Source organism: Homo sapiens, chromosome 12 (genome assembly GCF_000001405.40).
Source record: "Homo sapiens chromosome 12, GRCh38.p14 Primary Assembly".
Lineage (NCBI taxonomy): Eukaryota > Metazoa > Chordata > Mammalia > Primates > Hominidae > Homo > Homo sapiens.
This window is the reverse complement of record NC_000012.12, coordinates 37,070,766-37,095,654: the sequence shown is the minus strand read 5'-3', so window position 1 is coordinate 37,095,654 and position 24,889 is coordinate 37,070,766. Positions and strand designations below refer to the sequence as shown.

The following is a 24,889-nucleotide window of genomic DNA, read 5'->3' as shown; positions in this document are numbered from 1 at the left end:
CAGAGTGTTTCCAAACTGCTCCATCAAAAGAAAGGTTAAACTCCTTGAGTTGAACACACACATCACAAAGTAGTTTCTGTGAATGATTCTGTCTAGTTTTTATACGAAGATGTTTCCTTTTCTACCTTTGGTCTCAAAGCGATTGAAATCTCCACATGGAAACTCCACAAAAAGAGTGTTTCAAATCTGCTCTTTCTGAAGGAAGGTTCAACTCTGTGAGTTGAATACACACACCACAAATAAGTTACTGAGAATTCTTCTGTGTAACATTATATGAGGAAATCCCGTTTCCAACGAAGGCCTCAAAGAGGTCCAAATATCCACTTGCAGACTTTACAAAGACAGTGTCTCCAAACTCCTCCATCAAAAGAAAGGTTATACTCTGTGAATTGAACGCACACATCACAAAGTAGTTTCTGAGAATGATTCTGTCTAGTTTTTATACGAAGATATTTCCTTTTCTACATTTGGCCTAAAAGCGCTTGAAATCTCCACGTGCAAATATCACAAAAAGAGGGTTTCACATCTGCTCTGTCTAAAGGACAGTTCACCTCTGTGAGTTGAATAGAGGCAACACAAAGAACTTACTCAGTATTCTTCTTTCTAGCGTTCTATGAAGAAATCCCGTTTCCAACGAAGGCCCCAAAGAGGTCCAAATATCTGCTTGCAGACTTTACAGACAGAGTGTTTCCAAACTACTCTATGAAAAGAAAGCTTAAACTCCTTGAGTTGAACGCACACATCACAAAGTAGTTTCTGAGAATGATTCTGTCTAGTTTTTATACGAAGATGTTTCCTTTTCTACATTTGGTCTCAAAGCGATTGAAATCTACACCTGGAAACTGCACAAATAGGGTGTTTCAAATCTGCTCTGTCTAAAGGACGGTTCAACTCTGTGAGTTGAATACACACACCACAAATAAGTTACTGAGAATTCTTCTGTCGAACATTACTTGAAGAAATCCCGTTTCCAACGAAGGCCTCAAAGAGGTCCAAATATCCACTTGCGGACATTACAAACAGTGTGTTTCCCAACTGCTCCATCAAAAGAAAGGTTAAACTCTGTGAGCTGAACACACACATCAAAAAGAAGTTTCTGTGAATGATCTGTCTAGATTTTATAAGAAGATGTTTCCTTTTCTACAGTAGGCCTCAAAGCGCTTGAAATCTCCAGCTGCAAATTCCACAAAAAGGGTGTTTAACATCTGCTCTTCTAAAGGAAAGTTCAACTCTATGAGTTGAATGCACACAGCACAAAGAAGTTACTGAGACTTCTCCCTATCAAACATTATATGAAGAAATCCCGTTTCCAACGAAGGCCTCAAAGAGGTCCAAATATCTGCTTGCAGACTTTATAGACAGAGTGTTTCCAAACTGCTCCATCAAAAGAAAGGTTAAACTCCTTGAGTTGAACACACACATCACAAAGTAGTTTCTGTGAATGATTCTGTCTAGTTTTTATACGAAGATGTTTCCTTTTCTACCTTTGGTCTCAAAGCGATTGAAATCTCCACATGGAAACTCCACAAAAAGAGTGTTTCAAATCTGCTCTTTCTGAAGGAAGGTTCAACTCTGTGAGTTGAATACACACACCACAAATAAGTTACTGAGAATTCTTCTGTGTAACATTATATGAGGAAATCCCGTTTCCAACGAAGGCCTCAAAGAGGTCCAAATATCCACTTGCAGACTTTACAAAGACAGTGTCTCCAAACTCCTCCATCAAAAGAAAGGTTATACTCTGTGAATTGAACACACACATCACAAAATAGTTTCTGAGAATGATTCTGTCTAGTTTTTATACGAAGATATTTCCTTTTCTACATTTGGCCTAAAAGCGCTTGAAATCTCCACCTGCAAATATCACAAAAAGAGGGTTTCTCATCTGCTCTGCCTAAAGGACAGTTCACCTCTGTGAGTTGAATAGAGGCAACACAAAGAACTTACTCAGTATTCTTCTTTCTAGCGTTCTATGAAGAAATCCCGTTTCCAACGAAGGCCTCAAAGAGGTCAAATATCTGCTTGCAGACTTTACAGACAGAGTGTTTCCAAACTACTCTATGAAAAGAAAGCTTAAACTCCTTGAGTTGAACGCACACATCACAAAGTAGTTTCTGAGAATGATTCTGTCTAGTTTTTATACGAAGATGTTTCCCTTTCTACATTTGGTCTCAAAGCGATTGAAATCTCCAACTGGAAACTGCACAAATAGGCTGTTTCAAATCTGCTCTGTCTAAAGGAAGGTTCAGCTCTGTGAGTTGAATACACACACCACAAATAAGTTACTGAGAATTCTTCTGTCGAACATTACATGAAGAAATCCCGTTTCCAACGAAGGCCTCAAAGAGGTCCAAATATCCACTTGCAGACATTACAGAGTGTTTCCAAACTGCTCCATCAAAAGAAAGGTTAAACTCTGTGAGCTGAACACACACATCAAAAAGAAGTTTCTGTGAATGATTCTGACTAGATTTTATAAGAAGATATTTCCTTTTCTACCGTAGGCCTCAAAGCGCTTGAAATCTCCAGCTGCAAATTCCACAAAAAGGGTGTTTAACATCTGCTCTTCTAAAGGAAAGTTCAACTCTATGAGTTGAATACACACAGCATAAAGAAGTTACTGAGACTTCTCCTATCAAACATTATATGAAGAAATCCCGTTTCCAACGAAGGCCTCAAAGAGGTCCAAATATCTACTTGCAGACTTTACAGACAGAGTGTTTCCAAACTGCTCCATCAAAAGAAAGGTTAAACTCCTTGAGTTGAACACACACATCACAAAGTAGTTTCTGTGAATGATTCTGTCTAGTTTTTATACGAAGATGTTTCCTTTTCTACCTTTGGTCTCAAAGCGATTGAAATCTCCACATGGAAACTCCACAAAAAGAGTGTTTCAAATCTGCTCTTTCTGAAGGAAGGTTCATCTCTGTGAGTTGAATACACACACCACAAATAAGTTACTGAGAATTCTTCTGTGTAACATTATATGAGGAAATCCCGTTTCCAACGAAGGCCTCAAAGAGGTCCAAATATCCACTTGCAGACTTTACAAAGACAGTGTCTCCAAACTCCTCCATCAAAAGAAAGGTTATACTCTGTGAATTGAACGCACACATCACAAAGTAGTTTCTGAGAATGATTCTGACTAGTTTTTATACGAAGATATTTCCTTTTCTACATTTGGCCTAAAAGCACTTGAAATCTCCACCTGCAAATATCACAAAAAGAGGGTTTCACATCTGCTCTGTCTAAAGGACAGTTCACCTCTGTGAGTTGAATAGAGGCAACACATAGAACTTACTCAGTATTCTTCTTTCTAGCGTTCCATGAAGAAAACCCGTTTCCAACGAAGACCTCAAAGAGGTCCAAATATCTGCTTGCAGACTTTACAGACAGAGTGTTTCCAAACTACTTTATGAAAAGAAAGCTTAAACATCTTGAGTTGAACGCACACATCACAAAGTAGTTTCTGAGAATGATTCTGTCTAGTTTTTATACGAAGATGTTTCCTTTTCTACATTTGGTCTCAAAGCGATTGAAATCTCCAACTGGAAACTGCACAAATAGGCTGTTTCAAATCTGCTCTGTCTAAAGGAAGGTTCAACTCTGTGAGTTGAATACACACACCACAAATAAGTTACTGAGAATTCTTCTGTCGAACATTACAGGAAGAAATCCCGTTTCCAACGAAGGCCTCAAGGGGTCCAAATATCCACTTGCAGACATTACAAACAGTGTGTTTCCCAACTGCTCCATCAAAAGAAAGGTTAAACTCTGTGAGCTGAACACACACATCAAAAAGAAGTTTCTGTGAATGATTCTGTCTAGATTTTATAAGAAGATGTTTCCTTTTCTACCGTAGGCCTCAAAGCGCTTGAAATCTCCAGCTGCAAATTCCACAAAAAGGGTGATTAACATCTGCTCTTCTAAAGGAAAGTTCAACTCTATGAGTTGAATACACACAGCACAAAGAAGTTACTGAGACTTCTCCTATCAAACATTATATGAAGAAATCCCGTTTCCAACGAAGGCCTCAAAGAGGTCCAAATATCTGCTTGCAGACTTTACAGACAGAGTGTTTCCAAACTGCTCCATCAAAAGAAAGGTTAAACTCCTTGAGTTGAACATACACATCACAAAGTAGTTTCTGTGAATGATTCTGTCTAGTTTTTCTACGAAGATGTTTCCTTTTCTACCTTTGGTCTCAATGCGATTGAAATCTCCACATGGAAACTCCACAAAAAGAGTGTTTCAAATCTGCTCTTTCTGAAGGAAGGTTCATCTCTGTGAGTTGAATACACACACCACAAATAAGTTACTGAGAATTCTTCTGTGTAACATTATATGAGGAAATCCCGTTTCCAACGAAGGCCTCAAAGAGGTCCAAATATCCACTTGCAGACTTTACAAAGACAGTGTCTCCAAACTCTTCCATCAAAAGAAAGGTTATACTCTGTGAATTGAACGCACACATCACAAAGTAGTTTCTGAGAATGATTCTGTCTAGTTTTTATACGAAGATATTTCCTTTTCTACATTTGGCCTAAAAGCGCTTGAAATCTCCACCTGCAAATATCACAAAAAGAGGGTTTCACATCTGCTCTGTCTAAAGGACAGTTCACCTCTGTGAGTTGAATAGAGGCAACACAAAGAACTTACTCAGTATTCTTCTTTCCAGCGTTCTATGAAGAAATCCCTTTTCCAACGAAGGCCTCAAATAGGTCCAAATATCTGCTTGCAGACTTTACAGACAGAGTGTTTCCAAACTACTCTACGAAAAGAAAGCTTAAACTCCTTGAGTTGAACGCACACATCACAAAGTAGTTTCTGAGAATGATTCTGTCTAGTTTTTATACGAAGATGTTTCCTTTTCTACATTTGGTCTCAAAGCGATTGAAATCTCCAACTGGAAACTGCACAAATAGGGTGTTTCAAATCTGCTCTGTCTAAAGGAAGGTTCAACTCTGTGAGTTGAATACACACACCACAAATAAGTTACTGAGAATTCTTCTGTCGAACATTACAGGAAGAAATCCCGTTTCCAACGAAGGCCTCAAAGAGGTCCAAATATCCACTTGCAGACATTACAAACAGTGTGTTTCCCAACTGCTCCATCAAAAGAAAGGTTAAACTCTGTGAGCTGAACACACACATCAAAAAGAACTTTCTGTGAATGATTCTGTCTAGATTTTATAAGAAGATGTTTCCTTTTCTACCGTAGGCCTCAAAGCGCTTGAAATCTCCAGCTGCAAATTCCACAAAAAGGGTGTTTAACATCTGCTCTTCTAAAGGAAAGTTCAACTCTATGAGTTGAATACACACAGCACAAAGAAGTTACTGAGACTTCTCCTATCAAACATTATATGAAGAAATCCCGTTTCCAACGAAGGCCTCAAAGAGGTCCAAATATCTGCTTGCAGACTTTACAGACAGAGTTTTTCCAAACTGCTCCATCAAAAGAAAGGTTAAACTCCTTGAGTTGAACACACACATCACAAAGTAGTTTCTGTGAATGATTCTGTCTAGTTTTTATACGAAGATGTTTCCTTTTCTACCTTTGGTCTCAATGCGATTGAAATCTCCACATGGAAACTCCACAAAAAGAGTGTTTCAAATCTGCTCTTTCTGAAGGAAGGTTCAACTCTGTGAGTTGAATACACACACCACAAATAAGTTACTGAGAATTCTTCTGTGTAACATTATATGAGGAAATCCCGTTTCCAACGAAGGCCTCAAAGAGGTCCAAATATCCACTTGCAGACTTTACAAAGACAGTGTCTCCAAACTCCTCCATCAAAAGAAAGGTTATACTCTGTGAATTGAACGCACACATCACAAAGTAGTTTCTGAGAATGATTCTGTCTAGTTTTTATACGAAGATATTTCCTTTTCTACATTTGGCCTAAAATCGCTTGAAATCTCCACCTGCAAATATCACAAAAAGAGGGTTTCACATTTGCTCTGTCTAAAGGACAGTTCACCTCTGTGAGTTGAATAGAGGCAACACAAAGAACTTACTCAGTATTCTTCTTTCTAGCGTTCTATGAAGAAATCCCGTTTCCAACGAAGGCCTCAAAGAGGTCCAAATATCTGCTTGCAGACTTTACAGACAGAGTGTTTCCAAACTACTCTATGAAAAGAAAGCTTAAACTCCTTGAGTTAAACGCACACATCACAAAGTAGTTTCTGAGAATGATTGTGTCTAGTTTTTATACGAAGATGTTTCCTTTTCTACATTTGGTCTCAAAGCGATTGAAATCTCCAAGTGCAAACTGCACAAATAGGTTGTTTCAAATCTGCTCTGTCTAAAGGAAGGTTCAACTCTGTGAGTTGAATACACACACCACAAATAAGTTACTGAGAATTCTTCTGTCGAACATTACATGAAGAAATCCCGTTTCCAACGAAGGCCTCAAAGAGGTCCAAGTATCCACTTGCAGACATTACAGAGTGTTTCCAAACTGCTCCATCAAAAGAAAGGTTAAACTCTGTGAGCTGAACACACACATCGAAAAGAAGTTTCTGTGAATGATTCTGTCTAGATTTTATAAGAAGATGATTCCTTTTCTACCGTAGGCCTCAAAGCGCTTGAAATCTCCAGCTGCAAATTCCACAAAAAGGGTGTTTAACATCTGCTCTTCTAAAGGAAATTTCAACTCTATGAGTTGAATACACACAGCACAAAGAAGTTACTGAGACTCCTATCAAACATTATATGAAGAAATCCCGTTTCCAACGAAGGCCTCAAAGAGGTCCAAATATCTGCTTGCAGACTTTACAGACAGAGTGTTTCCAAACTGCTCCATCAAAAGAAAGGTTAAACTCCTTGAGTTGAACAGACACATCACAAAGTAGTTTCTGTGAATGATTCTGTCTAGTTGTTATACGAAGATGTTTCCTTTTCTACCTTTGGTCTCAAAGCGATTGAAATCTCCACATGGAAACTCCACAAAAAGAGTGTTTCAAATCTGCTCTTTCTGAAGGAAGGTTCATCTCTGTGAGTTGAATATACACACCACAAATAAGTTACTGAGAATTCTTCTGGGTAACATTATATGAGGAAATCCCGTTTCCAACGAAGGCCTCAAAGAGGTCCAAATATCCACTTGCAGACTTTACAAAGACAGTGTCTCCAAACTCCTCCATCAAAAGAAAGGTTATACTCTGTGAATTGAACGCACACATCACAAAGTAGTTTCTGAGAATGATTCTGTCTAGTTTTTATACGAAGATATTTCCTTTTCTACATTTGGCCTAAAAGCGCTTGAAATCTCCACCTGCAAATATCACAAAAAGAGGGTTTCACATCTGCTCTGTCTAAAGGACAGTTCACCTCTGTGAGTTGAATAGAGGCAACACAAAGAACTTACTCAGTATTCTTCTTTCTACCGTTCTATGAAGAAATCCCGTTTCCAACGAAGGCCTCAAAGAGGTCCAAATATCTGCTTGCAGACTTTACAGACAGAGTGTTTCCAAACTACTCTATGAAAAGAAAGCTTAAACTCCTTGAGTTGAACGCACACATCACAAAGTAGTTTCTGAGAATGATTCTGTCTAGTTTTTATACGAAGATGTTTCCTTTTCTACATTTGGTCTCAAAGCGATTGAAATCTCCAACTGGAAACTGCACAAATAGGCTGTTTCAAATCTGCTCTGTCTAAAGGAAGGTTCAGCTCTGTGAGTTGAATACACACAGCACAAATAAGTTACTGAGAATTCTTCTGTCGAACATTACTTGAAGAAATCCCGTTTCCAACGAAGGCCTCAAAGAGGTCCAAATATCCACTTGCAGACGTTACAAACAGAGTGTTTCCAAACTGCTCCATCAAAAGAAAGGTTAAACTCTGTGAGCTGAACACACACATCAAAAAGAAGTTTCTGTGAATGATTCTGTCTAGATTTTATAAGAAGATGTTTCCTTTTCTACCGTAGGCCTCAAAGCGCTTGAAATCTCCAGCTGCAAATTCCACAAAAAGGGTGTTTAACATCTGCTCTTCTAAAGGAAAGTTCAACTCTATGAGTTGAATACACACAGCACAAAGAAGTTACTGAGACTTCTCCTATCAAACATTATATGAAGAAATCCCGTTTCCAACGAAGGCCTCAAAGAGGTCCAAATATCTGCTTGCAGACTTTACAGACAGAGTGTTTCCAAACTGCTCCATCAAAAGAAAGGTTAAACTCCTTGAGTTGAACACACACATCACAAAGTAGTTTCTGTGAATGATTCTGTCTAGTTTTTATACGAAGATGTTTCCTTTTCTACCTTTGGTCTCAAAGCGATTGAAATCTCCACATGGAAACTCCACAAAAAGAGTGTTTCAAATCTGCTCTTTCTGAAGGAAGGTTCAACTACTGTGAGTTGAATACGCACACCACAAATAAGTTACTGAGAATTCTTCTGTGTAACATTATATGAGGAAATCCCGTTTCCAACGAAGGCCTCAAAGAGGTCCAAATATCCACTTGCAGACTTTACAAAGACAGTGTCTCCAAACTCCTCCATCAAAAGAAAGGTTATACTCTGTGAATTGAACGCACACATCACAAAGTAGTTTCTGAGAATGATTCTGTCTAGTTTTTATACGAAGATATTTCCTTTTCTACATTTGGCCTAAAAGCGCTTGAAATCTCCACCTGCAAATATCACAAAAAGAGGGTTTCACATCTGCTCTGTCTAAAGGACAGTTCACCTCTGTGAGTTGAATAGAGGCAACACAAAGAACTTACTCAGTATTCTTCTTTCTTGCGTTCTATGAAGAAATCCCGTTTCCAACGAAGGCCCCAAAGAGGTCCAAATATCTGCTTGCACACTTTACAGACAGAGTGTTTCCAAACTACTCTATGAAAAGAAAGCTTAAACTCCTTGAGTTGAACGCACACATCACAAAGTAGTTTCTGAGAATGATTCTGTCTAGTTTTTATACGAAGATGTTTCCTTTTCTACATTTGGTCTCAAAGCGATTGAAATCTCCAACTGGAAACTGCACAAATAGGGTGTTTCAAATCTGCTCTGTCTAAAGGAAGGTTCAACTCTGTGTGTTGAATACACACACCACAAATAAGTTACTGAGAATTCTTCTGTCGAACATTACTTGAAGAAATCCCGTTTCCAACGAAGGCCTCAAAGAGGTCCAAATATCCACTTGCAGACATTACAAACAGAGTGTTTCCAAACTGCTCCATCAAAAGAAAGGTTAAACTCTGTGAGCTGAACACACACATCAAAAAGAAGTTTCTGTGAATGATTCTGTCTAGATTTTATAAGAAGATGTTTCCTTTTCTACCGTAGGCCTCAAAGCGCTTGAAATCTCCAGCTGCAAATTCCACAAAAAGGGTGTTTAACATCTGCTCTTCTAAAGGAAAGTTCAACTCTATGAGTTGAATACACACAGCACAAAGAAGTTACTGAGACTTCTCCTATCAAACATTATATGAAGATATCCTGTTTCCAACGAAGGCCTCAAAGAGGTCCAAATATCTGCTTGCAGACTTTACAGACAGAGTTTTTCCACACTGCTCCATCAAAAGAAAGGTTAAACTCCTTGAGTTGAACACACACATCACAAAGTAGTTTCTGTGAATGATTCTGTCTAGTTTTTATACGAAGATGTTTCCTTTTCTACCTTTGGTCTCAAAGCCATTGAAATCTCCCCATGGAAACTCCACAAACAGAGTGTTTCAAATCTGCTTTTTCTGAAGGAAGGTTCAAATCTGTGAGTTGAATACACACACCACAAATAAGTTACTGAGAATTCTTCTGTGTAACATTATATGAGGAAATCCCGTTTCCAACGAAGGCCTCAAAGAAGTCCAAATATCCACTTGCAGACTTTACAAAGACAGTGTCTCCAAACACCTCCATCAAAAGAAAGGTTATACTCTGTGAATTGAACGCACACATCACAAAGTAGTTTCTGAGAGTGATTCTGTCTAGTTTTTATACGAAGATATTTCCTTTTCTACATTTGGCCTAAAAGCGCTTGAAATCTCCACCTGCAAATATCACAAAAAGAGGGTTTCACATCTGCTCTGTCTAAAGGACAGTTCACCTCTGTGAGTTGAATAGAGGCAACACAAAGAACTTACTCAGTATTCTTCATTCTAGCGTTCTATGAAGAAATCCCGTTTCCAACGAAGGCCCCAAAGAGGTCCAAATATCTGCTTGCAGACTTTACAGACAGAGTGTTTCCAAACTACTCTATGAAAAGAAAGCTTAAACTCCTTGAGTTGAACGCACACATCACAAAGTAGTTTCGGAGAATGATTCTGTCTAGTTTTTATACGAAGATGTTTCCTTTTCTACATTTGGTCTCAAAGCGATTGAAATCTCCAACTGGAAACTGCACAAATAGGGTGTTTCAAATCTGCTCTGTCTAAAGGAAGGTTCAACTCTGTGAGTTGAATACACACACCACAAATAAGTTACTGAGAATTCTTCTGTCGAACATTACAGGAAGAAATCCCGTTTCCAACGAAGGCCTCAAAGAGGTCCAAATATCCACTTGCAGACATTACAAACAGTGTGTTTCCCAACTGCTCCATCAAAAGAAAGGTTAAACTCTGTGAGCTGAACACACACATCAAAAAGAAGTTTCTGTGAATGATTCTGTCTAGATTTTATAAGAAGATGTTTCCTTTTCTACCGTAGGCCTCAAAGCGCTTGAAATCTCCAGCTGCAAATTCCACAAAAAGGGTGTTTAACATCTGCTCTTCTAAAGGAAAGTTCAACTCTATGAGTTGAATACACACAGCACAAAGAAGTTACTGAGACTTCTCCTATCAAACATTATATGAAGAAATCCCGTTTCCAACGAAGGCCTCAAAGAGGTCCAAATATCTGCTTGCAGACTTTACAGACAGAGTGTTTCCAAACTGCTCCATCAAAAGAAAGGTTAAACTCCTTGAGTTGAACACACACATCACAAAGTAGTTTCTGTGAATGATTCTGTCTAGTTTTTATACGAAGATGTTTCCTTTTCTACCTTTGGTCTCAATGCGATTGAAATCTCCACATGGAAACTCCACAAAAAGAGTGTTTCAAATCTGCTCTTTCTGAAGGAAGGTTCAACTCTGTGAGTTGAATACACACACCACAAATAAGTTACTGAGAATTCTTCTGTGTAACATTATATGAGGAAATCCCGTTTCCAACGAAGGCCTCAAAGAGGTCCAAATATCCACTTGCAGACTTTACAAAGACAGTGTCTCCAAACTCTTCCATCAAAGAAAGGATATACTCTGTGAATTGAACGCACACATCAGAAAGTAGTTTCTGAGAATGATTCTGTCTAGTTTTTATACGAAGATATTTCCTTTTCTACATTTGGCCTAAAAGCGCTTGAAATCTCCACCTGCAAATATCACAAAAAGAGGGTTTCACATCTGCTCTGTCTAAAGGACAGTTCACCTCTGTGAGTTGAATAGAGGCAACACAAAGAACTTACTCAGTATTCTTCTTTCTAGCGTTCTATGAAGAAATCCCGTTTCCAACGAAGGCCCCAAAGAGGTCCAAATATCTGCTTGCAGACTTTACAGACAGAGTGTTTCCAAACTACTCTATGAAAAGAAAGCTTAAACTCCTTGAGTTGAACGCACACATCACAAAGTAGTTTCTGAGAATGATTCTGTCTTGTTTTTATACGAAGATATTTCCGTTTCTATGATTGGCCTCAAACCATTGAAATCTCCAACTGGAAACTGCACAAATAGGGTGTTTCAAATCTGCTCTGTCTAAAGGAAGGTTCAACTCTGTGAGTTGAATACACACACGACAAATAAGTTACTGAGAATTCTTCTGTCGAATATTACATGAAGAAATCCCGTTTCCAACGAAGGCCTCAAAGAGGTCCCAATATCCACTTGCAGACATTACAAACAGAGTGTTTCCAAAATGCTCCATCAAAAGAAAGGTTAAACTCTGTGAGCTGAACACACACATCAAAAAGAAGTTTCTGTGAATGATTCTGTCTAGATTTTATAAGAAGATGTTTCCTTTTCTACCGTAGGCCTCAAAGCGCTTGAAATCTCCAGCTGCAAATTCCACAAAAAGGGTGTTTAACATCTGCTCTTCTAAAGGAAAGTTCAACTCTATGAGTTGAATACACACAGCACAAAGAAGTTACTGAGACTTCTCCTATCAAACATTATATGAAGAAATCCCGTTTCCAACGAAGGCCTCAAAGAGGTCCAAATATCTGCTTGCAGACTTTACAGACAGAGTGTTTCCAAACTGCTCCATCAAAAGAAAGGTTAAACTCCTTGAGTTGAACACACACATCACAAAGTAGTTTCTGTGAATGATTCTGTCTAGTTGTTATACGAAGATGTTTCCTTTTCTACCTTTGGTCTCAAAGCGATTGAAATCTCCACATGGAAACTCCACAAAAAGAGGGTTTCAAATCTGCTCTTTCTGAAGGAAGGTTCATCTCTGTGAGTTGAATACACACACCACAAATAAGTTACTGAGAATTCTTCTGTGTAACATTCTATGAGGAAATCGCGTTTCCAACGAAGGCCTCAAAGAGTCCAAATATCCACTTGCAGACTTTTCAAAGACCGTGTCTCCAAACTCCTCCCTCAAAAGAAAGGTTTTACTCTGTGAATTGAACGCACACATCACAAAGTAGTTTCTGAGAATGATTCTGTCTAGTTTTTATACGAAGATATTTCCTTTTCTACATTTGGCCTAAAAGCGCTTGAAATCTCCACCTGCAAATATCACAAAAAGAGGGTTTCACATCTGCTCTGTCTAAAGGACAGTTCACCTCTGTGAGTTGAATAGAGGCAACACAAAGAACTTACTCAGTATTCTTCTTTCTAGCATTCTATGAAGAAATCCCGTTTCCAACGAAGGCCTCAAAGAGGTCAAATATCTGCTTGCAGACTTTACAGACAGAGTGTTTCCAAACTACTCTATGAAAAGAAAGCTTAAACTCCTTGAGTTGAACGCACACATCACAAAGTAGTTTCTGAGAATGATTCTGTCTAGTTTTTATACGAAGATGTTTCCTTTTCTACATTTGGTCTCAAAGCGATTGAAATCTCCAACTGGAAACTGCACAAATAGGGTGTTTCAAATCTGCTCTGTCTAAAGGAAGGTTCAACTCTGTGAGTTGAATACACACACCACAAATAAGTTACTGAGAATTCTTCTCTCGAACATTACATGAAGAAATCCCGTTTCCAACGAAGGCCTCAAAGAGGTCCAAATATCCAGTTGCCGACAATGCAAACATAGTGTTTGCAAACTGCTCCATCAAAAGAAAGCTTAAACTCTGTGAGATGAACACTAACATCAAAAAGAAGTTTCTGTGAATGATTCTGTCTAGATTTTATAAGAAGATGTTTCCTTTTCTACCACAGGCCTCAAAGTGCTAGAAATCTCCAGCTGCAAATTCCACAAAAAGTGTGTTTAACATCTGCTCTGTCTAAAGTAAAGTTCAGCTCTGTGAGTTGAATACACACAGCACAAAGAAGTTACTGAGACTTCTTCTGTCTAACATTATATGAATAAATCCCGTTTCCAACGAAGGCCTCAAAGAGGTCCAAATATCCACTTGCAGACTTGCCAAACAGAGTGTTTCCAAACTGCACCATCAAAAGAAAGGTTAAACTCTGTGAGCTGAACACACACATCACAAAGTAGTTTCTGTGAATGATTCTGTCTAGATTTTATAAGATGTTTCCTTTTCTACCGTAGGCCTCAAAGCGCTGGAAATCTCCAGCTGCAAATTCCACAAAAAGGGTGTTTAACATCTGCTCTTCTAAAGGAAAGTTCAACTCTATGAGTTGAATACACACAGCACAAAGAAGTTACTGAGACTTCTCCTATCAAACATTATATGAAGAAATCCCGTTTCCAACGAAGGCCTCAAAGAGGTCCAAATATCTGCTTGCAGACCTTACAGACAGAGGGTTTCCAAACTGCTCCATCAAAAGAAAGGTTAACCTCCTTGAGTTGAACACACACATCACAAAGTAGTTTCTGTGAATGATTCTGTCTAGTTTTTATACGAAGATGTTTCCTTTTCTACCTTTGGTCTCAAAGCGATTGAAGTCTCCACATGGAAACTCGACAAAAAGAGTGTTTCAAATCTGCTCTTTCTGAAGGAAGGTTCAACTCTGTGAGTTGAATACACACACCACAAATAAGTTACTGAGAATTCTTCTGTGTAACATTATATGAGGAAATCCCGTTTCCAACGAAGGCCTCAAAGAGGTCCAAATATCCACTTGCAGACTTTACAAAGACAGTGTCTCCAAACTCCTCCATCAAAAGAAAGGTTATACTCTGTGAATTGAACGCACACATCACAAAGTAGTTTGCTGAGAATGATTCTGTCTAGTTTTTATACGAAGGATATTTCCTTTTCTACATTTGGCCTAAAAGCGCTTGAAATCTCCACCTGCAAATATCACAAAAAGAGGGTTTCACATCTGCTCTATCTAAAGGAGAGTTCACCTCTGTGAGTTGAATAGAGGCAACACAAAGAACTTACTCAGTATTCTTCTTTCTAGCGTTCTATGAAGAAATCCCGTTTCCAACGAAGGCCTCAAAGAGGTCAAATATCTGCTTGCAGACTTTACAGACAGAGTGTTTCCAAACTACTCTATGAAAAGAAAGCTTAAACTCCTTGAGTTGAACGCACACATCACAAAGTAGTTTCTGAGAATGATTCTGTCTAGTTTTTATACGAAGATGTTTCCTTTTCTACATTTGGTCTCAAAGCGATTGAAATCTCCAACTGGAAACTGCACAAATAGGGTGTTTCAAATCTGCTCTGTCTAAAGGAAGGTTCAACTCTGTGAGTTGAATACACACACCACAAATAAGTTACTGAGAATTCTTCTGTCGAACATTACTTGAAGAAATCCCGTTTCCAACGAAGGCCTCAAAGAGGTCCAAATATCCACTTGCAGACATTACAAACAGAGTGTTTCCAAACTGCTCCATCAAAAGAAAGGTTAAACTCTGTGAGCTGAACACACATATCAAAAAGAAGTTTCTGTGAATGATTCTGTCTAGATTTTATAAGAAGATGTTTCCTTTTCTACCGTAGGCCTCAAAGCGCTTGAAATCTCCACCTGCAAATTCCACAAAAAGGGTGTTTAACATCTGCTCTTCTAAAGGAAAGTTCAACTCTATGCATTGAATACACACAGCACAAAGAAGTTACTGAGACTTCTTCTTTCTAGCATTCTGTGAAGAAATCCCGTTTCCAACGAAGGCCCCAAAGAGGTCCAAATATCTGCTTGCAGACTTTACAGACAGAGTTTTTCCAAACTGCTCCATCAAAAGAAAGGTTAAACTCCTTGAGTTGAACACACACATCACAAAGTAGTTTCTGTGAATGATTCTGTCTAGTTTTTATACGAAGATGTTTCCTTTTCTACCTTTGGTCTCAAAGCGATTGAAATCTCCACATGGAAACTCCACAAAAAGAGTGTTTCAAATCTGCTCTTTCTGAAGGAAGGTTCATCTCTGTGAGTTGAATACACACACCACAAATAAGTTACTGAGAATTCTTCTGTGTAACATTATATGAGGAAATCCCGTTTCCAACGAAGGCCTCAAAGAGGTCCAAATATCCACTTGCAGACTTTACAAAGACAGTGTCTCCAAACTCCTCCATCAAAAGAAAGGTTATACTCTGTGAATTGAACGCACACATCACAAAGTAGTTTCTGAGAATGATTCTGTCTAGTTTTTATACGAAGATATTTCCTTTTCTACATTTGGCCTAAAAGCGCTTGAAATCTCCACCTGCAAATATCACAAAAAGAGGGTTTCACATCTGCTCTGTCTAAAGGACAGTTCACCTCTGTGAGTTGAATAGAGGCAACACAAAGAACTTACTCAGTATTCTTCTTTCTAGCGTTCTATGAAGAAATCCCGTTTCCAACGAAGACCCCAATGAGGTCCAAATATCTGCTTGCTGACTTTACAGACAGAGTGTTTCCAAACTACTCTATGAAAAGAAAGCTTAAACTCCTTGAATTGAACGCACATAACACAAAGTAGTTTCTGAGAATGATTCTGTCTAGTTTTTATACGAAGATGTTTCCTTTTCTACATTTGGTCTCAAAGCGATTGAAATCTCCAACTGGAAACTGCACAAATAGGGTGTTTCAAATCTGCTCTGTGTAAAGGAAGGTTCAACTCTGTGAGTTGAATACACACACCACAAATAAGTTACTGAGAATTCTTCTGTCGAACATTACTTGAAGAAATCCCGTTTCCAACGAAGGCCTCAAAGACGTCCAAATATCCACTTGCAGACATTACAAACAGAGTGTTTCCAAACTGCTCCATCAAAAGAAAGGTTAAACTCTGTGAGCTGAACACACACATCAAAAAGAAGTTTCTGTGAATGATTCTGTCTAGATTTTATAAGAAGATGTTTCCTTTTCTACCGTAGGCCTCAAAGCGCTTGAAATCTCCAGCTGCAAATTCCACAAAAAGGGTGTTTAACATCTGCTCTTCTAAAGGAAAGTTCAACTCTATGAGTTGAATACACACAGCACAAAGAAGTTACTGAGACTTGTCCTATCAAACATTATATGAAGAAATCCCGTTTCCAACGAAGGCCTCAAAGAGGTCCAAATATCTACTTGCAGACTTTACAGACAGAGTGTTTCCAAACTGCTCCATCAAAAGAAAGGTTAAACTCCTTGAGTTGAACACACACATCACAAAGTAGTTTCTGTGAATGATTCTGTCTAGTTTTTATACGAAGATGTTTCCTTTTCTACCTTTGGTCTCAAAGCGATTGAAATCTCCACATGGAAACTCCACAAAAAGAGTGTTTCAAATCTGCTCTTTCTGAAGGAAGGTTCAACTCTGTGAGTTGAATACACACACCACAAATAAGTTACTGAGAATTCTTCTGGGTAACATTATATGAGGAAATCCCGTTTCCAACGAAGGCCTCAAAGAGGTCCAAATATCCACTTGCAGACTTTACAAAGACAGTGTCTCCAAACTCCTCCATCAAAAGAAAGGTTATACTCTGTGAATTGAACGCACACATCACAAAGTAGTTTCTGAGAATGATTCTGTCTAGTTTTTATACGAAGATATTTCCTTTTCTACATTTGGCCTAAAAGCGCTTGAAATCTCCACCTGCAAATATCACAAAAAGAGGGTTTCACATCTGCTCTGTCTAAAGGACAGTTCACCTCTGTGAGTTGAATAGAGGCAACACAAAGAACGTACTCAGTATTCTTCTTTCTAGCGTTCTATGAAGAAATCCCGTTTCCAACGAAGGCCTCAAAGAGGTCAAATATCTGCTTGCAGACTTTACAGACAGAGTGTTTCCAAACTACTCTATGAAAAGAAAGCTTAAACTCCTTGAGTTGAACGCACACATCACAAAGTAGTTTCTGAGAATGATTCTGTCTAGTTTTTATACGAAGATGTTTCCTTTTCTACATTTGGTCTCAAAGCGATTGAAATCTCCAACTGGAAACTGCACAAATAGGGAGTTTCAAATCTGCTCTGTCTAAAGGAAGGTTCAACTCTGTGAGTTGAATACACACACCACAAATAAGTTACTGAGAATTCTTCTGTCGAACATTACATGAAGAAATCCCTTTCCCAACGAAGGCCTCAAAGAGGTCCAAATATCCACTTGCAGACATTACAAACAGAGTGTTTCCAAACTGCTCCATCAAAAGAAAGGTTAAACTCTGTGAGCTGAACACACACATCAAAAAGAAGTTTGCTGTGAATGATTCTGTCAAGATTTTATAAGATGTTTCCATTTCTACCGTAGGACTCAAAGCGCTTGAAATCTCCAGCTGCAAATTCCACAAAAAGGGTGTTTAACATCTGCTCTTCTAAAGGAAAGTTCAACTCTATGAGTTGAATACACACAGCACAAAGAAGTTACTGAGACTTCTCCTATCAAACATTATATGAAGAAATCCCGTTTCCAACGAAGGCCTCAAAGAGGTCCAAATATCTGCTTGCAGACTTTAAAGACAGAGTTTTTCCAAACTGCTCCATCAAAAGAAAGGTTAAACTCCTTGAGTTGAAAACACCCATCACAAAGTAGTTTCTGTGAATGATTCTGTCTAGTTTTTATACGAAGATGTTTCCTTTTCTACCTTTGGTCTCAAAGCGATTGAAATCTCCACATGGAAACTCCACAAAAAGAGTGTTTCAAATCTGCTCTTTCTGAAGGAAGGTTCAACTCTGTGAGTTGAATACACACACCACAAATAAGTTACTGAGAATTCTTCTGTGTAACATTATATGAGGAAATCCCGTTTCCAACGAAGGCCTCAAAGAGGTCCAAATATCCACTTGCAGACTTTACAAAGACAGTGTCTCCAAACTCCTCCATCAAAAGAAAGGTTATAGTCTGTGAATTGAACGCACACATCACAAAGTAGTTTCTGAGAATGATTCTGTCTAGTTTTTATACGAAGATATTTCCTTTTCTACATTTGGCCTAAAAGCGCTTGAAATCTCCACCTGCAAATATCACAAAAAGAGGGTTTCACATCTGCTCTGTCTAAAGGACAGTTCACCTCTGTGAGTTGAATAGAGGCAACAAAAAGAAGTTACTGAGTATTCTTCTTTCTAGCGTTCTATGAAGAAATCCCCTTTCCAACGAAGACCCCAAAGACGTCCAAATATCTGCTTGCAGACTTTACAGACAGAGTTTTTCCAAACTGCTCCATCAAAAGAAAGGTTAAACTCCTTGAGTTGAACACACACATCACAAAGTAGTATCTGTGAATGATTCTGTCTAGTTTTTATACGAAGATGTTTCCTTTTCTACATTTGGTCTCAAAGCGATTGAAATCTCCAACTGGAAACTGCACAAATAGGGTGTTTCAAATCTGCTCTGTCTAAAGGAAGGTTCAACTCTGTGAGTTGAATACACACACCACAAATAAGTTACTGAGAATTCTTCTGTCGAACATTACTTGAAGAAATCCCGTTTCCAAAGAAGGCCTCAAAGAGGTCCAAATATCCACTTGCAGACATTACAAACAGAGTGTTTCCAAACTGCTCCATCAAAAGAAAGGTTAAACTCTGTGAGCTGAACACACACATCAAAAAGAAGTTTCTGTGAATGATTCTGTCTAGATTTTATAAGAAGATGTTTCCTTTTCTACCGTAGGCCTCAAAGCGCTTGAAATCTCCAGCTGCAAATTCCACAAAAAGGGTGTTTAACATCTGCTCTTCTAAAGGAAAGTTCAACTCTATGAGTTGAATACACACAGCACAAAGAAGTTACTGAGACTTCTCCTATCAAACATTATATGAAGAAATCCCGTTTCCAACGAAGGCCTCAAAGAGGTCCAAATATCTGCTTGCAGACTTTACAGACAGAGTGTTTCCAAACTGCTCCATCAAAAGAAAGGTTAAACTCCTTGAGTTGAACACACACATCACAAAGTAGTTTCTGTGAATGATTCTGTCTAGTTTTTATACGAAGATGTTTCCTTTTCTACCTTTGGTCTCAATGCGATTGAAATCTCCACATGGAAACTCCACAAAAAGAGTGTTTCAAATCTGCTCTTTCTGAAGGAAGGTTCAACTCTGTGAGTTGAATACACACACCACAAATAAGTTACTGAGAATTCTTCTGGGTAACATTATATGAGGAAATCCCGTTTCCAACGAAGGCCTCAAAGAGGTCCAAATATCCACTTGCAGACTTTACAAAGACAGTGTCTCCAAACTCCTCCATCAAAAGAAAGGTTATACTCTGTGAATTGAACGCACACATCACAAAGTAGTTTCTGAGAATGATTCTGTCTAGTTTTTATATGAAGATATTTCTTTTTCTACATTTGGCCTAAAAGCGCTTGAAATCTCCACCTGCAAATATCACAAAAAGAGGGTTTCACATCTGCTCTGTCTAAAGGACAGTTCACCTCTGTGAGTTGAATAGAGGGAACACAAAGAACTTACTCAGTATTCTTCTTTCTAGCGTTATATGAAGAAATCCCGTTTCCAACGAAGGCCTCAAAGAGGTCCAAATATCTGCTTGCAGACTTTACAGACAGAGTGTTTCCAAACTACTCTATGAAAAGAAAGCTTAAACTCCTTGAGTTGAACGCACACATCACAAAGTAGTTTCTGAGAATGATTCTGTCTAGTTTTTATACAAAGATGTTTCCTTTTCTACATTTGGTCTCAAAGCGATTGAAATCTCCAACTGGAAACTGCACAAATAGGGTGTTTCAAATCTGCTCTGTCTAAAGGAAGGTTCAACTCTGTGAGTTGAATACACACACCACAAATAAGTTACTGAGAATTCTTCTGTCGAACTTTACAGGAAGAAATCCCGTTTCCAACGAAGGCCTCAAAGAGGTCCAAATATCCACTTGCAGACATTACAAACAGTGTGTTTCCCAACTGCTCCATCAAAAGAAAGGTTAAACTCTGTGAGCTGAACACACTCATCAAAAAGAAGTTTCTGTGAATGATTCTGTCTAGATTTTATAAGAAGATGTTTCCTTTTCTACCGTAGGCCTCAAAGCGCTTGAAATCTCCAGCTGCAAATTCCACAAAAAGGGTGTTTAACATCTGCTCTTCTAAAGGAAAGTTCAACTCTATGAGTTGAATACACACAGCACAAAGAAGTTACTGAGACTTCTCCTATCAAACATTATATGAAGAAATCCCGTTTCCAACGAAGGCCTCAAAGAGGTCCAAATATCTGCTTGCAGACTTTACAGACAGAGTGTTTCCAAACTGCTCCATCAAAAGAAAGGTTAAACTCCTTGAGTTGAACACACACATCACAAAGTAGTTTCTGTGAATGATTCTGTCTAGTTGTTATACGAAGATGTTTCCTTTTCTACCTTTGGTCTCAAAGCGATTGAAATCTCCACATGGAAACTCCACAAAAAGAGTGTTTCAAATCTGCTCTTTCTGAAGGAAGGTTCATCTCTGTGAGTTGAATACACACACCACAAATAAGTTACTGAGAATTCTTTCTTTCTAGCATTCTATGAAGAAATCCCGTTTCCAACGAAGGCCCCAAAGAGGTCCAAATATCTGCTTGCAGACTTTACAAAGACAGTGTCTCCAAACTCCTCCGTCAAAAGAAAGGTTATACTCTGTGAATTGAACGCACACATCACAAAGTAGTTTCTGAGAATGATTCTGTCTAGTTTTTATACGAAGATATTTCCTTTTCTACATTTGGCCTAAAAGCGCTTGAAATCTCCACCTGCAAATATCACAAAAAGAGGGTTTCACATCTGCTCTGTCTAAAGGACAGTTCACCTCTGTGAGTTGAATAGAGGCAACACAAAGAACTTACTCAGTATTCTTCTTTCTAGCGTTCTATGAAGAAATCACGTTTCCAACGAAGGCCCCAAAGAGGTCCAAATATCTGCTTGCAGACTTTACAGACAGAGTGTTTCCAAACTACTCTATGAAAAGAAAGCTGAAACTTCTTGAGTTGAACGCACACATCACAAAGTAGTTTCTGAGAATGATTCTGTCTAGTTTTTATACGAAGATGTTTCCTTTTCTACATTTGGTCCCAAAGCGATTGAAATCTCCAACTGGAAACTGCACAAATAGGGTGTTTCAAATCTGCTCTGTCTAAAGGAAGGTTCAACTCTTTGAGTTGAATACACACACCACAAATAAGTTACTGAGAATTCTTCTGTCGAACATTACATGAAGAATTCCCGTTTCCAACGAAGGCCTCAAAGAGGTCCAAATATCCACTTGCAGGCATTACAAACAGAGTGTTTCCAAACTGCTCCATCAAAAGAAAGGTTAAACTCTGTGAGCTGAACACACACATCAAAAAGAAGTTTCTGTGAATGATTCTGTCTAGATTTTATAAGAAGATGTTTCCTTTTCTACCGTAGGCCTCAAAGCGCTTGAAATCTCCAGCTGCAAATTCCACAAAAAGGGTGTTTAACATCTGCTCTTCTAAAGGAAAGTTCAACTCTATGAGTTGAATACACACAGCACAAAGAAGTTACTGAGACTTCTCCTATCAAACATTATATGAAGAAATCCCGTTTCCAACGAAGGCCTCAAAGAGGTCCAAATATCTACTTGCAGACTTTACAGACAGAGTGTTTCCAAACTGCTCCATCAAAAGAAAGGTTAAACTCCTTGAGTTGAACACACACATCACAAAGTAGTTTCTGTGAATGATTCTGTCTAGTTGTTATACGAAGATGTTTCCTTTTCTACCTTTGGTCTCAAAGCGATTGAAATCTCCACATGGAAACTCCACAAAAAGAGTGTTTCAAATCTGCTCTTTCTGAAGGAAGGTTCATCTCTGTGAGTTGAATACACACACCACAAATAAGTTACTGAGAATTCTTCTGTGTAACATTATATGAGGAAATCCCGTTTCCAACGAAGGCCTCAAAGAGGTCCAAATATCCACTTGCAGACTTTACAAAGACAGTGTCTCCAAACTCCTCCATCAAAAGAAAGGTTATACTCCGTGAATTGAACGCACACATCACAAAGTAGTTTCTGAGAATGATTCTGTCTAGTTTTTATACGAAGATATTTCCTTTTCTACATTTGGCCTAAAAGCGCTTGAAATCTCCACCTGCAAATATCACAAAAAGAGGGTTTCACATCTGCTCTGTCTAAAGGACAGTTCACCTCTGTGAGTTGAATAGAGGCAACACAAAGAACTTACTCAGTATTCTTCTTTCTAGCGTTCTATGAAGAAATCCCGTTTCCAACGAAGGCCCCAAAGAGGTCCAAATATCTGCTTGCAGACTTTACAGACAGAGTGTTTCCAAACTACTCTATGAAAAGAAAGCTTAAACTCCTTGAGTTGAACGCACACATCACAAAGTAGTTTCTGAGAATGATTCTGTCTAGTTTTTATACGAAGATGTTTCCCTTTCTACATTTGGTCTCAAAGCGATTGAAATCTCCAACTGGAAACTGCACAAATAGGCTGTTTCAAATCTGCTCTGTCTAAAGGAAGGTTCAACTCTGTGAGTTGAATACACACACCACAAATAAGTTACTGAGAATTCTTCTGTCGAACATTAGAGGAAGAAATCCCGTTTCCAACGAAGGCCTCAAAGAGGTCCAAATATCCACTTGCAGACATTACAAACAGTGTGTTTCCCAACTGCTCCATCAAAAGAAAGGTTAAACTCTGTGAGCTGAACACACACATCAAAAAGAAGTTTCTGTGAATGATTCTGTCTAGATTTTATACGAAGATGTTTCCTTTTCTACCATAGGCCTCAAAGCGCTAGAAATCTCCAGCTGCAAATTCCACAAAAATTGTGTTTAACATCTGCTCGGTCTAAAGTAAAGTTCAGCTCTGTGAGTTGAATACACACAGCACAAAGAAGTTACTGAGACTTCTCCTATCAAACATTATATGAAGAAATCCCGTTTCCAACGAAGGCCTCAAAGAGGTGCAAATATCTGCTTGCAGACTTTACAGACAGTGTGTTTCCAAACTGCTCCATCAAAAGAAAGGTTAAACTCCTTGAGTTGAACACACACATCACAAAGTAGTTTCTGTGAATGATTCTGTCTAGTTTTTATACGAAGATGTTTCCTTTTCTACCTTTGGTCTCAATGCGATTGAAATCTCCACATGGAAACTCCACAAAAAGAGTGTTTCAAATCTGCTCTTTCTGAAGGAAGGTTCATCTCTGTGAGTTGAATACACACACCACAAATAAGTTACTGAGAATTCTTCTTTCTAGCATTCTATGAAGAAATCCCGTTTCCAACGAAGGCCCCAAAGAGGTCCAAATATCTGCTTGCAGACTTTACAAAGACAGTGTCTCCAAACTCCTCCGTCAAAAGAAAGGTTATACTCTGTGAATTGAACGCACACATCACAAAGTAGTTTCTGAGAATGATTCTGTCTAGTTTTTATACGAAGATATTTCCTTTTTTATATATGGCCTAAAAGCGCTTGAAATCTCCACCTGCAAATATCACAAAAAGAGGGTTTCACATCTGCTCTGTCTAAAGGACAGTTCACCTCTGTGAGTTGGATAGAGGCAACACAAAGAACTTACTCAGTATTCTTCTTTCTAGCGTTCTATGAAGAAATCCCGTTTCCAACGAAGGCCCCAATGAGGTCCAAATATCTGCTTGCAGACTTTACAGACAGAGTGTTTCCAAACTACTCTATGAAAAGAAAGCTTAAACTCCTTGAGTTGAACGCACACATCACAAAGTAGTTTCTGAGAATGATTCTGTCCAGTTTTTATACGAAGATGTTTCCTTTTCTACATTTGGTCTCAAAGCGATTGAAATCTCCAACTGGAAACTGCACAAATAGGGTGTTTCAAATCTGCTCTGTCTAAAGGAAGGTTCAACTCTGTGAGTTGAATACACACACCACAAATAAGTTACTGAGAATTCTTGTGTCGAACATTACTTGAAGAAATCCCGTTTCCAACGAAGGCCTCAAAGAGGTCCAAATATTCACTTGCAGATATTACAAACAGAGTGTTTCCAAACTGCTCCATCAAAAGAAAGGTTAAACTCTGTGAGCTGAACACACACATCAAAAAGAAGTTTCTGTGAATGATTCTGTCTAGATTTTATAAGAAGATGTTTCCTTTTCTACCGTAGGCCTCAAAGCGCTTGAAATCTCCAGCTGCAAATTCCACAAAAAGGGTGTTTAACATCTGCTCTTCTAAAGGAAAGTTCAACTCTATGAGTTGAATACACACAGCACAAAGAAGTTGCTGAGACTTCTCCTATCAAACATTATATGAAGAAATCCCGTTTCCAACGAAGGCCTCAAAGAGGTCCAAATATCTGCTTGCAGACTTTACAGACAGAGTGTTTCCAAACTGCTTCATCAAAAGAAAGGTTAAACTCCTTGAGTTGAACACACACATCACAAAGTAGTTTCTGTGAATGATTCTGTCTAGTTGTTATACG

At 38.6% G+C, this 24,889-nt stretch overlaps 1 annotated feature.

Annotated features, from left to right (window-relative positions):
• Window positions 1–24,889: part of a centromere (Linear centromere model derived predominantly from reads generated in PMID: 17803354. This region does not represent an actual centromere sequence, as long-range ordering of repeats and unmapped WGS contigs is not provided by the model. For details of model production, see http://arxiv.org/abs/1307.0035.) that runs on past both edges of the window.